At 40.1% G+C, this 15,516-nt stretch overlaps 1 long non-coding RNA gene across 1 annotated transcript; it reads right to left on the reverse strand.

Moving 5' to 3' along the window:
• Positions 1-224: 224 nt before the first annotated feature.
• LOC105377458 (uncharacterized) lies at positions 225-11,779 on the reverse strand. The gene is made up of 2 exons (NR_134680.1): positions 11,758-11,779; positions 225-1,881 (listed from the first exon to the last, which is right to left on the reverse strand). It is a non-coding gene; the product is annotated as an uncharacterized LOC105377458 (long non-coding RNA).
• Positions 11,780-15,516: the final 3,737 nt, after the last annotated feature.

Here is a 15,516-nt window from a genome sequence, read left to right on the forward strand (position 1 = left end):
CATTTATTTTAGTGCTATTTGTATATTATTCTATAAACTCCTCAATATATGATTGTTATTTTACATGTTTAATATTCATTTAGTTTTTTTCATTGCTATTTATGTATTTATTTATTCTTTGTTCTTTCTGTGCTTTCACTTGAAATTATTTTTTTTGACTTCAAGGGCTCCCTTTAGAATTTGTTTTGCTGCAGCCCTACTGGTAACATTTTCTTTTCGTTTTGTGCTTGTATAAAAATGTTTTTATTTAACATTTATTTGGGGGAATATTTTTGTTAGATACAAAATTCTAGGCTGCAGTTATTTTCTTTTAATGTTTTGAAGATGCTTGTTGTCATCTGGCTTCCAATATTTCAATTGTGAAATTAACTGTCAGACTGATGATTATTCCTTTTAAAAGTATTATGTGTGTTTTTTTTTCTATCTGCAAAGATTTTCCTCTTTGTCTTTTTAGATAGCTTTCTTTTTATGTGGTTAGGCGGTTGTTTTGAATTTTTCCCAGTTGGGCACAGTAGTATTTTGTGAACTGTGACTTTTATCACTTGGAAATTCTTCAGCTACTTCTTCTTCAGATATTACCTCTGTTCTAGTCTCTTGTTACCTCTTCTCTGGAACTCCAGTTACATATATTTTAGACCTTTCAGACCATATTCCATAAATGGCCTTAGTCCTATCTTTTGATGTCTGATTGCAGTTTTTCTAATTTTCAGTTCTAGAATTTCCACTTGATTCTGTTCTGAAATTTCCAGTCCTTTTTTGAAATTATTCATACTACCAGCAAATTTCTTGACCATATTAACTGTAGTAATTTAAAAATCCATATCGAAAACTTTCAACATCTGGATCTCCTGTTGGCTTCTTTCTTTTCTTTTTTCTTTTTCTTTTTTTGACAGAGTCTTGCTCTGTCAGCCAAGCTGGAGTGCAGAGGCACAACCTCAGCTCACTGGAACCTCCGCCTCCCGGGTTGAAGCAATTCTCATGCCTCAACTTCCCAAGTAGCTGGGATTACAGGCACCCACCACTATGCCCGGCTAATTTTTGTATTTTTAGTAGAGATGGGGTTTCACCATTTTGGCCGGGCAGATCTCAAACTCTTGACCTCAAGTGATCCACCCACCTTGTGGTGCTGGGATTACAGGCGTGAGCCACCGTGTCCTGTCTCCTGTTGGCTCGTTTCTTTTACTTGATTTTTTTCCTCTTGGCTTTTGATCATTTATTTTGCTTCTTAATATGACTGATAATTTTTTATTGAAATCAGGATATGGTATGTGAAAATTTTCAGAGATAATTCCAGACTCTAGATGGTGTTACTGCTAGCGGGTTTATTTTCTTTCTGGTTGAAAGTTAGGGTAGAGGCAGATCAGCTAGTCTAATCTCAGTGGGCTTGAATCTTCATGACCGTCCTTTGTTTCTGGTTCCCTATTACTCCTGAAATGAATCCCATCCAGGGTTCCAACTGAAATGCTGGGATATTTTGTCTGCTTCTTATTGGGTCTTAAGCTTCCATGTTATTCCTTATCCCCGTGAAACTCTTAGAATATCTGCTCAGCTCCTTCATCTTTAGGCTGCTGTTTAGGAGTTGACAAATGCCTCAAGGAAAAGTGGCACCGAATACTGAGCTGACCTCTCTGCACACCCTTCTTTCTGCTATCTTGGCTTCTCAGTCTTGCTGCCTTGCTAGTTTTCTGATGCCTTTCAGCAGATGTTTTTACTGGATTATCCTGTTTTGCAGTTGTTTTCATGGAATGGTTGGTCTCCACAGAGCTATTCTAGGTAATGGGAAAACATGCCAGCCATTTTCTTATCCTGCTTTATTGAATTTCTTATTTAATTCTTCAGATTGAAAATGATGTTCCTGATTTTTCTGAGTACCAGAAACATCTGAGAAAGAAAAATATAAATGTTGGAAAGAATATGTTTTGAATCTTTATTATGTAGAGTAATATGCTAAGAGCATTTCATATTTAAATATTTTAAAATATATTTTATATTTAAAATTATCTTTAATATAAAATTATCATATTTGTGAAATAGACAACTTCATAGAGCATGCTCTTCATGGGGTGAAAGTCACCCCATCAAGAAAGAAATACTTTTCTTGAAACTGTGTTTTCACTGTTGACGTTTTTATCTACCAGACAGACTCAAGAATTCTTTGTTAATTTCCATGAGGGACAAAAGAGGATGTTTAAATATTAGGAAACAAAAAGATGGTTCTTATCAGAATCCATCCTTTTACCCTAAGCAAGAAAGTCTAGTTTTGTGTTATTTGAAAAATTTTAGAAGATACAATTTTTTATTAACTCATGAAAATCATTTTCTGACCCATGAGGTATAGTTGCTTTGCTCCATTTCTGTATGATATTTAATCTGAATACTAAAATAGAAATCATTAATACTTTACTACAACTCCAATGTATTAAACATAGTTATTTTTATCAATATAAAAATGAGTCATATCATAGTCATGCAGATTTTTATATGTATGATTTGTTCTTTACATTTTCTTTACCTAAAATTCAAAACTCTCTCTATGAAGAATATTTTTCTGTATTCCAGTTGGTGGATATTTCTTTAAGCTTATTTAATTGGATAAGGGTTAAGGGTGTGATGTTTAAATTACACAACCATCTTGGTTTAAAGTCATGAGGCTTTTTGTGGGTTTATTTTACAATACCGTACTTTCAAAACTAACAAATCAAGACTTACAGCAGCAATAGGAGGCAAACACTTTTCATTTCTTTCACCAGGTTGCTGAAATATGGCCCAGTTCCAGCTACTGATCATGCATATTCCCGAGACAACTTCATAGAGCATGCTCTTCACTGGGTGAAAATCACCCCATTAAGAAAGAAAGAATTTTCTTGGTATTTTCTTGAAGCCATTGACTATGAAAGCACAGCCCTTCCAGTTTTTTAGAAGTTTTAATCATACATCAAGCTCTTATTAGTAACAAAGAAAACAAAGAAGAAACCTAGCTCTCATTTTCAGGAAGGATGCTTTCAGATGGTCAACATAAAACCACCAAGGGAGGGGCCGCAATGCCAGTACCCTGTGTTAAACCTGCAGCAGCAGGAAAGGCTGTCAGGTGAGCAGTTAGAGGCAAGGAGATGTTGGGCACTGTATGGTGGGTGACAACCTCGAGACAACTCACCTTACTGTGCTTATTTTATCTCTCCACATCTTGTATAAGTGACACAAGCATTTGAGTCCGGGGCCCTCTGCTTTTTTATTATGCACAGACTCACTCAGGGAGTGGGAGCTAAGGAAAGGTTGGAATTAATCAGATACTTCCCCAGACTTTCCTACACCTCTTGCCCAACAGAAGTAGGCAAAGCTAACTCAGACCATGCGGACTGAGTTTCTTGTTCCATCAGACTTTTAGGTACAAGGTCAAGGTTGGGGGCTAAGCGTGTACAGTGATTGATCTGGGAGACTTAAGGAAAAGTTTTTCTGGAAATGGTTAATGGGAAACAAGGAGGAATGTCTTGTGTGATAGCAAAGTGGAAGCAGCCAACCAAGGAAGACTTCAACAAGTTCAGAAAAATCTTGCCTCTGTCCGGGCATGGTGGCTCACACCTGTAATCCCAGTACTTTGGGAGGCCTAGGTGGGCGGATCACCTGAGGTCAGGAGTTCGAGACATGGCAAAACCGTGTCTGTACTAAAAATACAAAACAAACAAACAAACAAACAAACAAAAACTAGCTGGGCGTGGTGGCAGGCGCCTATAATCCCAGCTACTCAGGAGGCTGAGGCAGGAGAATCGCTTGAACCCAGGAGGCGGAGGTTGCAGTGAGCTGAGATCACACCACTAAACTCCAGGTTGGGTGACAGAGCGAAACTCCATCTCAAAAAAAAAAAAACTTTCCTCTCTAGGAAAAGACGTGGGAATTCTATGAGCTTCCTACCTCCTGCTGGGCCATAAATGCGATGGTTGGAGCCATCAACCTCTTAACAGGACCTAGAATAGAATTGCTGAATTCTTTGGTCCCCAATTCCGAGAGTGCCTGAGTCTGACCTTGGTGACAGAAAGAGTCTAATAAAATATGAAACATTAACTATAGGGAAAAATAGATTAGATGTACATTGTGTGGTGTCAGCTTGGGCTGAAGTTGTGCTTGTACCAGGATACAGACATACCTGCAAGAGGTGAGCCACTGTCCTCATGAAAGAATGAGAAGTCTCCTAGGAACGGGTTGATCCTAAAGGAAGCTGAAGGCATGTACTCTGCCTAAGAGCAAGGCCTCAGCTGAAAGAAGGGAATATAATAGTTTGAGTACAACGTGTAGAGAGTCCCCCAACCTTGTCCTTGGGTGAATCTGTACACAGTGCTCAAAAGCTGATCTGCCAGCCACAGTCACCATCAGCTAGCTGTTTGTCACAGTCTTTTGCTCCCATCCTTCTTTTTTTGAGACAGAGTCTCGTTCTGTCACCCAGGCTGGAATGCAGTGGCGTGATCTTGGCTCACTGCAACCTCCACCTCCTGGGTTCAAGCGATTCTCCTGCCTCAGCCCCCTGAGTAGCTGGGATTACAGGTGCTTCCCACTGCACCCGGGTAATACTTGTATTTTTAGTAGAGATGGGGTTTTGCCATGTTGGCCAGGCTGGTCTCAGACTCCTGGCCTCAAGTGAGCCTCCAGCCTCAGCCTCCCAAAGTGTTGAGATTACATGCATGAGTCACTGCACCCAGCTGCATCCTTCTTGTTGATGGTCTTTCTATGAAACCTCATGATGCCTCATTATTGCTGCTGCATTCTCTACTCACCTTAGAATGACAATATCAAAGCTACAGATATTATTACCTGATGCTCCCCAAACCAGCAGCTTTCAAGGTGGCCATAAGACACTTGTTTCATCTTCTCTTGTGGATTTCATATTTTATCACTTAAGAACCTAGCAAGGCTTCTATCCAGAGTCTCATATAGTCCTTCCACATGACCCCAATAGCATCTTCTCTGTTTCCACTTCCTGCATTTCAGGTCCTTTTTAAGTACCTGCATCCTCTTCTATCCAAAAGCAAAGTCCTTATGCAAATCTGCTTATGCGAATTTTCTTGTTTTAAACTGCTGTCTCTCCAGTTTGTTAAATGTAACCAAAGACAAGCCTGAAGGCCAACAGTATCCTGTATCACTAGCAGATAATATTGCCCACTTTGACACTGGAGATTCTGTAGCATAAACATTTGTCGGTATAGTAATTCTTAATCTTCTTAACTAGATTCTTGTGAAACTCATCATAATAGTATGCTACAAGTGTATCTATTGCCGCTAAAATCTGCAGGATCTGTATTAAGATACATTGCTGTTATTAGTTGTGCTTCATTTTGAAAGAGTCCAATATACTGATTAGGATAAAAGCTAACATTTTGCCATGGTGAAAATCTACACCAATTACATAAAATTAAAATGTTTTGTGATACTTGAAGTAACTTTGTAGTGATAGAATAAAAATACATTGGTTTTCTTTTATGATAAAACAAGAATAAATCCTCTTACCTAAAACTGTTTCCGAGAGAAAAAGAAGCACTTTTTAGTCAGAAATAGATGGTTTAAATCCCCTCATCATAATTATGTATTTGCAACTGAAAGCCTAAAATATTTGATGAAAAATAGCCTGATACCATTGCAAACAAAAAACCCAGGCACCCAGAAAGACTGGAGTCTGCCATAAATCCAGATGCTCTAACAAGTAGCTCAGAGACCTTAATTAACCTCTCTGAGACTTCTATTTCTCCTATGTCGAGGAGCATAAACATGTAAACGCAGTTTGCGAAGATCAAGTTGAGGTAATGCTTATTATATTTCTGTTACTTGGTAGGACCAAAAAAAGGTAGATATAATTTTTCTAAGTTTTGAATTAAAATTGTATGACAAGTGTTTCAAAGCATGTAGCATTACCCTAGTCCTCTTTATTGGTTTTGTACACGTTACATTTTAGTAAATTTAAAGAGGTATAAATTTTACTAGAATCATTTCCAGAAACTGGCTTACAATTTTATTGGGGGAGTTTTTGTATCAAAATACTAAAGGCTTGGTTCAGTTGAAAAGCCAACAGGCTCTTATCACTTTAGTTTTGGTAAGTGAGAGAAGGGAAGAGAAATATTTCCGATACTATATCATGACAGGTAAGTGATCATTCTGTCTTATTATTATTTGCATAGAAATGTTCTTGAAAGCCCATGAAATGGAGACTGGGCAATTTGGCTGCCTCAGCTAATGCAGAAGGGTCCCCTACCTGCTGAAAACAGTTGGAAATGCTAAACAAAATAGTAAACCATGACACTAAAAATGACTATAGAGAAACTTGATGAAAAGAAGAGAAATCTTTGGATGCCAAAGAAAGAGCTCAAATCAGGATGGGCTCTGGGAGAGACGTTTTGTCAGAAAACTTCCACATCTCAGGACAAACTGCATTCCTGAAGAACAATGGAAATCCACTGAAAATGAACTCATAATAAAACATTATAAACCAGACAGGGAAAAGAGCATCATGAAGAATCAGAAAACACAACATTTTCTCTTAAAAAAGCCTTCTGAAGACTGCAGACAATAAAGCAATCTGAAAGCGGCTATAAGTATGTTGAAAAACAAACAAAATAATAGGAAAAGGAACATTAGGAAAAAAATGTTTATGTGGTTATGCTTCATTCTTCAGAAATTTCCCTCATCCACCCCCAGATTTCTAAGTCCTATGGGTTAACAGATACCGTTGTCCCTTTGAAGACACCTGTATTAGTTTGCCAGGATTCCGTAATAAAGCACCACAGATTGGGGTGCCAGAAGTCCCAGCTCAAAGGGTTTGCAGAGTTGGTTCCTTTGAGAGCTGTGAGGGAGAATCTGTTTCATGTCTGTGCCCTAACTTCTGGTAGTTTGCTAGAAATCTTTGGTGTTCCTTGGCTTCTATGGTATCATCCTGATGCCTGCCTTCATCTTCCCAAGGTATTCTCCCTGAGTGTGTCAAAATTTCTTTTTTTTATGAAGATACCAGTCCTGTTGGATTTGAGGCCCACCCTACTCCTGTATAATCTCATTTTAACTTGTTACATCTGCAATGATCCTGTTTGCAATTAAGGTCACATTCTGAGATACTTGGGAGTTAGGATTTCAACACATGAATTTTTGGGAAACGAGGCATAATTCAATCCATCGCAACACCCAAATATAAATTGACTATTTTTAGAATTTTTCAGTCTTATTAGAATGGTAGAAACACAGAAATCTTCCAACGTCCTCATTCTATGCCAAAATAGAACACTTCAAGTAAATAAGAAAGGCATTTTGGATAACCTTTAGGCTTTCAGGCTATGTACCAAAAAGACACCATTAAGAGACAAGACATGCCCCACGGTAAGATAAGAAGATAGGAAGCTTCTCTACTGCAAACTCCTAGGACTTACCACATTGCTTTCAAAAAACTTCTTAAAGTCTCTAAGTATTTTCTTGTGTAATGTTATAGATCTGAGCACATAATATTTAGAATAAGTAATATATTTAATGTCTTCAAAATAATGAAAATAAATATTTTAAATGTTCTAAAGTTTTCTTTGGGGTCTTGAGATTTAGCCAATGACCAAATAAAAATATTAATAATGATTTTGTATATTTCGTATAATGCTATCAACCTGCCATCAGCACTGTATAGCACTTTTCCCCAGGGGTTGTTGTGATTGTTTGTCACTATTTCATCGTTAGTAATAGTACTAATAGAATTTTTCTGAAAGAGTTAATGTGGGGGTCAAATAAGGTAACAAATATAAAGCACTTACTAGAGTGCCTGGGACAGAGTAACTGCTCAATAAATGTTAACTGTTATTATTAGAGTATAGAAGGTGCTGCATTTTTAAAAAGCTTCGTGAAGTGTTTTCCCTTTTTGGTGATATAATTCAGGGGTGCTCCTATGCCATTTTTTCTTCAAGAAAGAGAAGGGTTGGTGCCACCCAAAAAAGAGCTCATGGTGTAGTAAAGAAGTTAGAAATGTAAACATAATCAAGTCACTTAGATAGTTAGTCTAGGAAGTATGGGGCCACTTCATTTTTAAGAGAAAAGGTTAGACTATAATAATGTATCTGGATACATCGGCTCTAAAGGAGAAGGAAAACGAAGTTGGAGAAGGTTCCTCTGATGGTCTGCCTTTTCTGTATGAAGTATGGGGCAAGATCATTGGTGGGAAATTAAAGATGGGAGTGGAGTAGAGTATTTGAGAGGGGTAAAGTGTTGGAACTACTCCACCCAAGAATACAAATGTGAGCTGAATGGAGTCAGTACTGAGTCCAACTGAACACAAGGTCTAGTTGAAGCCATCATTTTGTAGCTGAAGCCAGTAAAAACTGTTGTTTTATTTTACTCTCCTTTATCATTTCTATTCTATTTAAATGTTATCCTATTTTATTTTATTTTATTTGACGTAATTGGTTGAGGCATAGCTGATCATTGTATGGGCACAAGCTAAGAAGTGACTGATGGCATCCACCCAGGCCAGGATTGAGGCAGAGAGAGGAGAAGAGGGTGAGGGAGCTGATGATGTGAGTGAAGTCACCCACTAACCAGGCAGGAGGGAAGGAATTGACAGCAGGATGTGCTGATACAGGAAAAACAGGTATCTCCATGGTGGAAGAACAGATATGGCAGCAGAAAGGGGATGAGAGAAATAGGAGGAAAGGTGTTGCTAAGAAAGTGCTAAGAAGTTGGACCTGGTGCAGTTCCAGGTGGTTGATCTGGGGTTTGGGGTGCAGGGAATGGAATGCTTCCATACAGCCAGGGGACAGGATAAGGAGATAAAGAGATGAAGGTGAAGGCAAACTGTCAATTTCTCAGTCTCATAGTCCTTGGCTGTGCTCCTGTGTTAGCTGCGATTTCAAAATAGATCACTTCCTTTCCTTACTTTACTCTGTCTCCTCTCCATCTCCTACTTGGCATCTTGTGTCTTTTTAAGGTCATGTTAAGAGTTCACTTTCCCAATCAGGAGAAGCACAGAAACATAAATCAATGTACTTAATGCATGTTTCTTTCTTTCTCAAAGACTTGCCTAAATAAAACCTTACAATTTATTTTAGTTAACAAATTAAATGTTGACTTTTAAAAACATAGTATTTGTGCTTTTTAACCCTCAAAGAACTTTACACTTATTAAGGTCATTACTCTTTTTAACACTCCTAGAGTCTTTGAGTTGAACATACATGTTCAAAAGATTAACACAGAGGGTGAGGATGTTTGGCTATCAGATGCAGTTTTTAGCTGTAATATCTGGCCTTTGAGATAGTATTGCTCTGGCCATGTCTGAAAGCCAGGAAATAATTATTTCTCTTCCACTTTCTGTCAATGGGGAGCTATTATTACCCCCTTCAGTGTGAACTCATTTAGGACTACACAAATAAAAATTATTAATAATGGTTAATTATCAGATTAGAATTTCAAAGGGGAAAAATAATAGTAGTTTCCTCTGAAATTCACAAGCCAACTAAAGCCATTCCAAGCTTCCTGAGGCCCCTTCTCTCCTCTGTTTCTTATTTCCTTTCATCCTTCCCTCTTCTTCTCTTTGGATTTCTCTCTTCTTATTTATTTCTCTGTACACAGGGTATTTTTACTCCCCTCAAGTTCTCTTCATTGGTGCCACTCTTCTTACATACCTGGCTCTTTTTTCTTCACCTTCTGATTTTCCACCTTTTCTTTTTCCTGCTTTCCCTTTTCTTACTTTACCATTTCCTTTTTTTTAAATTTCTGAACCAGTTGGGAACAAGATTTTTTTTCTAACTAATTTCTCCCTTCCTTCCTTCCTTCCTTCCTTCCTTCCTTCCTTCCTTCCTTCCTTCCTTCTTTCCTTCCTTTCTTCTTTCTCTCTCTCTCTTTTCCTTCTTTTTCTTTCTTTTTTTCTGCTTTTTCTGGGGCTCACTCTGTTGCCCAGGTTGGAGAGCATTGGCATGATCATGGCTCGCTGCAGCCTCAACCATCCAGGCTCAAGCAATCCTTCTACGTCTAGCTCCTGAGCAGCTGGGACTACAGATGTGCTCCACCACAGCTGGCTAATTTTGTTTGTTTATTTATTTATTTATTTGTTTACTTATTTGTTTATTTATTGAGACAAGGTCTCACTATGTTGCCCAGGCTTGTCTCCAACTCCTGGACTCAAGTGACCCTCCTGCCTTCACCTCCAAAAGTGCTAGGGTTACAGGTGTGAGTCACCGCGCCCAGCCTATCATTTCCTTCTACAACATCGACACCCCCTTGTCCTGTCCTCTGGTCACATGGTGGCACTGCATTCCTGACCCAGCCCTGGGATCAACCCCTCTATGCTCACTTTTACTTTTTATTACTATAGCAACAACAAGGGCTATTATTATTAATTAAAATTTATTGAACACATACCATGTGTCAGGCAAGTAGATTACTTTCTGTTTAGAAAATGCCATCACAAAGGGGACAGCACATGCAAAAGACAATGATCTGAATCTGCAAGTGGGGAAAAAACTAAAATGGATTTTCAGTTGTTTGAAATAAAATTCCTTGCCATCGGCATTTGCTCAATATTGATAAAGGGAAGATTCAGGTCCCTTTGTAAGAGAGAGAGGGAAAAAACAGAGACATCGATCGAATCCATACTGTGAAACTATGCAGTAGGTATTGACCCATCATTGCTCTCAAACAGTGGAAAAAGACTGAGATGAATTTGCTTTGTGGAGTAGCCAATCACTCAGGTGGCTGAGTCACAAACAAGATTTAATATCTGATTGCTGCACAAAAATGTCTACAAAGAAGCTCCTGTGGAAGATATTTTTCCTCACCCATTCAAGGTTGCAGAGGTAGTTCTCTTTGTGATTTGTGAGTGGTGTAGGAGTGTGAAGAGTATAAATTAGAGAAGAATATAAGGAAGTTTGCTGTGTGTTTAGCAGGAACTGCAACCTAAGAGAATCAAGATCCTGCAGCCGAGAAGAGAACTGGGATCCAAAAGGTCACATTAAAACAGGTTAAGTGTTTGCAAATCCCAATTACAATAGGTGCCGTTAGCTATTAAATCTTATTGATCGGCCAGGCGCAGTGGTTCATGCCTATAATCCCAGCATTTTGAGAGACTAAGGCAAGCAGATTGCCTGATGTTAGGAGTTTGAGACCAGTCTGACCAACGTGGTGAAACCCCGTCTCTACTAAAAATACAAAAAATTAGGCGTAGTGGCGTGCGCCTATAATCTCAGCTACTCAGGAGGCTGAGGCAGGGGAATTGCTTGAACCAGGGAGACAAAGGTTGCAGTGAGCCAAGATTGCGCCACTGTACTCCAGCCTGGGTGACAGAGCGAGACTCTGTCTCGAAACAAAAACAAAAACAAAACAAAAACCTTACTGATCAAATAGCTAAGAAATAAAGAATTTCCTCCATTCTTTGCTGAGGTGGGAAGAAACAGCTGCTGGAATGAGTTTGCAGATGGGGAGAAAAGTGGTTCTTAAAAACTCAGGAACTATGGTGTACCCTTTCGTGTGCCGATTAAAATGAAAACATGAATCCCGGTCTTCCCTGGCCAATGGGAACACTACAGGTGGGGAGAAAGAACCTCCTCTCTTTATGTTTCTGTAAATCATCCTGCCTTACTTTGAACCCCTGTGCCTTCAAAAAGGGAGGACTTTGAGCCCCTGTGCCTTCAGAAAGGGAGGAAACTGTCCTTAAAAGAGCTCTGCTATCTCCCTGGAATTTATGTCATGACTATGACATAAAAAATTTGCCCAGTGCTAAAAATTCAGGACATGGCATCTGGTGATTGAGTCACTTACCCACACAGGTTAGCAGTAAGACACTCATTCTGTATTTTAGCACAGCCCTGGAGCTCCGGTGGCTTTGTGACGCCATGGCGTGGTCTCAATTTCTGAGCTGCACACAGAGCCACTTCTCCTCCCGGGATCTTGCCACTTCCTTGTTTGCACTGCACAGAAAGCACACAGCAGCTACTCACCTTCTCATTTCCTGCAGGTTTGGAGAATCCTTGTGGTGGGGCTTTTAGTTGTCTCCTTGTTTCTTACAAGTATTTTGTTGACACCACATTATCTTCCTTCTCTGGAACTGGTGTATTCAGGATTCCCAAGCCCAGGAAACTTAGTGCTGCTTTTTTTTCCCTTATGGTTACTACTCAGAAGCAAGAGGCAAGAGGCAAGAAATGCATGATTGAGTACCTGCTTGATTTAGGAGGGGAGAGGAAAAGAAACAGGTTGAATTTTAAAAATGTTATTGAGTTGGCTGGGCACAGTGGCTCACATCTGTAATCCAAGCACTTTGGGAGGCTGAGGAGGGTGGGTCACCTTAAAATCAGGAGTTCGAGACCAGCCTGGCCAACATGGTGAAACCCTGTATCTACTTAAAATATAAAAAATTAGCTCAGCGTGGTGGTTGGTGCCTGTAATCCCAGCTACTTGGGAGGCTGAGGCAGGAGAATCACTTGAACCCAGGAGGCAGAGGTTGCAGTGAGCCGAGATCACACCATTGCACACCAGCCTGGGCAATAAGAGTGAAACTTCGTCTCAAAGAAAAATGTTATTGAGTCACAGTTGTGTCAGAGTTCTCAAAATGCAGAAGCCAGCTTTCTAATGCTGTGGCCTCTGTCCAGGACAGATATATACCATGCAGATGAGAGAGGACCCAGTGTAGTTCTTAAAAATTTCAGTGCATGAGACCGAACACGCAACCACCACTTCTCACCATTTCACTCTCTGGCCAATTTGTTGGTTTTGTTGCTGTTGTGACTTCTTGTTAGTGATACAGGCATTTGCCCATACACACCATTTTAAGAATTCCTGGCACAAAGAGATGCTTAAGAAATATTACGTGATGTTTGATATAGTTTGGCTGTGTCCCCACCCAAATCTCATCTTGAATTATAGTTCTGATAATCCCCATGTGTCATGGGAGGGACCCAGTGGGAGGTAATTGAATCATGGGGGTGGTTTTCCCTGTGTTGTTCTTGTGATGGTGAGTGAGTTATCATGAGAGCTGATGGTTTTATAAGCCTCTGGCATTACCCCTGCTGGCTCTCATTCTCTCTCTTGCTGCCCTGTGAAGAGGTGCCTTCTGCCATGACTGTAAGTTTCCTGAGGCCTCCCCAGCCACATGCAATTGTGGGTCAGTTAAACCTCTTTTTAAATAAATTACTCAGTCTTGGATATTTCTTCATAGCAGCATGAGAACAGACTAATACAGTAAATTGGTACCAGGAGTGGGGTGCTACTATAAGGATACCCCAAAATGTGGATGCAAATTTGGAACTGGGTAACAGGCAGAGGTTGGAACAGTTTGGAGGACTCAGGAGAAGACAAGAAAATGTCAGAAAGTTTGGAAATTTCTAGGGATTGGAGGGCTCAGAAGACAGGAAGATGTGGGAAAGTTTGGAACTTCCTAGAGACTTGTTGAATGGCTTTGACTAAAATGCTGATAGTGATTTGGACAATGAAGTCCAGGCTGAGGTGGCCTCAGATGGAGATGAGGAACTCGTTGGGAACTGGAGCAAAGGTGACTTTTGTTATGCTTTAGCAAAGAGACTTGCAGCACTGTGCCTCTGCTTGAGATCTGTGTATCTTTGAACTTGAGAGAGATGATTTAGAATATCTGGCAGAAAAAATTTCTAAGTGGCAAAGCATTCAAGAGGAAGCAGAGCATAAAAGTTTGAAAAATTTGCAGCCTGACAATGCGATAGAAAAGAAAAACCCATTTTCTGGAGAGAAATTCAAGCTGGCTACAGAAATTGGCATAAGTAATGAGAAGCCAAATGTTAATCACCAAGACAATGGGGAAAATGTCTCCAGGGCATGTCAGAGACTTTCACAGCAGCCCCTCCTATCACAGGCCCAGAGACCTAGAAGGGAAAAATGGTTTCATGGTCTGGGCCCAGGGCTCCCCTGCTCTGTGCAGCCTCAGGTCATTGTACCCTGCATCCCAGCCCCTCTAGCTCCAGCCATGGCTAAAAGCGCCAAGGTACAGTTCGGGTTATTGCTTCAGAGGGTGCAAGCCATAAGTCTTGGCAACTTCCACATGGTGTTGAGCCTGTGGGTGCACAGAAGTCAAGAACTGGGGTTTGGGAACTTCTGCCTAGATTTCAGAGGATGTGTGGAAATGCCTGATTGTCCAGGCAGAAGTTTGCTGCAGGGGCAGAGGCCTCATTGAGAACCTCTGGTAGGGCAGTGTAGAAGGGAAATATGTAGTGGGTGCCCCCACATAGAGTTCCCACTGGGGCACTGCCTAGTGGAGCTGTAAGAAGTGGGCCACCGTCCTCCAGACCCCAGAATGGTAGATCCACAACGACAGCTTCCACTGTGCACCTGGAAAAATCGCAGACACTCAATGCCAGCCTGTGAAAGAAGCCAGGTTGGGGGATGTTCCCTGCAAAGCCACAGGTGTGGAGCTTCCCAAGGCCACGGGAGCCCACCTCTTGCAACAGCATGACCTGGATGTGGGACATGGAATCAAAATAATCATTTTGGAACTTTAATATTTAATGACTGCCTTGCTGGATTTCAGACTTGTATGGGTCTGTAGCCCCTTCGTTTTAACCACATTTTCCCCATTTGGAACAGGTGTATTCACCCAATGCTTATAATTGTATCTAGGAAGTAACTAACTTACTTTTGATTTTACAGGCTCATAGGTGGAAGAAACTGGTCTTGTCTCAGATGAGCCTTTGGACTTGGACTTTTGGGTTAATGCTAGAATGAGTTAAGTCTTTGGGGACAGTTGGAAGGGCATGATTTTGTTTTGAAATGTGAGGACATGAAATTTGGGAAGGGTCAGGAATGTAATGATGTGGTTTGCCTTTGTCCTCACCCAAATTTCATCTTGATTTATAGTTCCCATAATCCCTACATGTCACAGGAGGGACTAGGTGGGAGGTAATTGAATCATGGGGGCAGTCTCCCCCATGCTGTTCTCATGATGGTGAGTGAGTTCTCATGATATCTGATGGTTTTATGTGTCTGGCATTTCCCCTGCTGACTCTCATTCTCTCTCTTGCCACCCTCTGAAGAGATGCCTTCTGCCATGATTATAAGTTTCCTGAGGCCTCCCCAGCCATGCAGAACTGTGAGTTAATTAAACTTCTTTTCTTTATAAATTACTAGACTTGTGTATTTCTTCATGGCAGTGTGAGAACGAAGTAATACAATGTTAATTGTTAATACTTTATTTTTCTGACTTTTAATTTAAAATTTTTAAATGCTATTTTATTATTATTTTTTGGCCACTGGATTCCCATTCCACTTGAATAGAATAACAAATAGTAGAAATTAAAGTTAAAAAGTATGTTGAATATTGAATAGAAATTTAATTTTGGAAATATTCATGTCTACAGTTAAATAAGAAGTGGAAGACAGTAAAAAATGAAACAAATGCAGTCTCTGTCCTTGGTGGGACTGAAGCAGTTCCTGAAAGAAAACTTTTAGTGGTGCCTGTCAGCACAGAACTACAGCTTATGAAAGTCCATGGACATCAAAATTATGCAAAGCTTGGTGGAATTTTTGTGTGCAGGTTTTCCTAGAGAGAACAGAAACTAT

Source organism: Homo sapiens, chromosome 4, assembly GCF_000001405.40.
Source record: "Homo sapiens chromosome 4, GRCh38.p14 Primary Assembly".
Taxonomy (NCBI): Eukaryota; Metazoa; Chordata; class Mammalia; order Primates; family Hominidae; genus Homo; species Homo sapiens.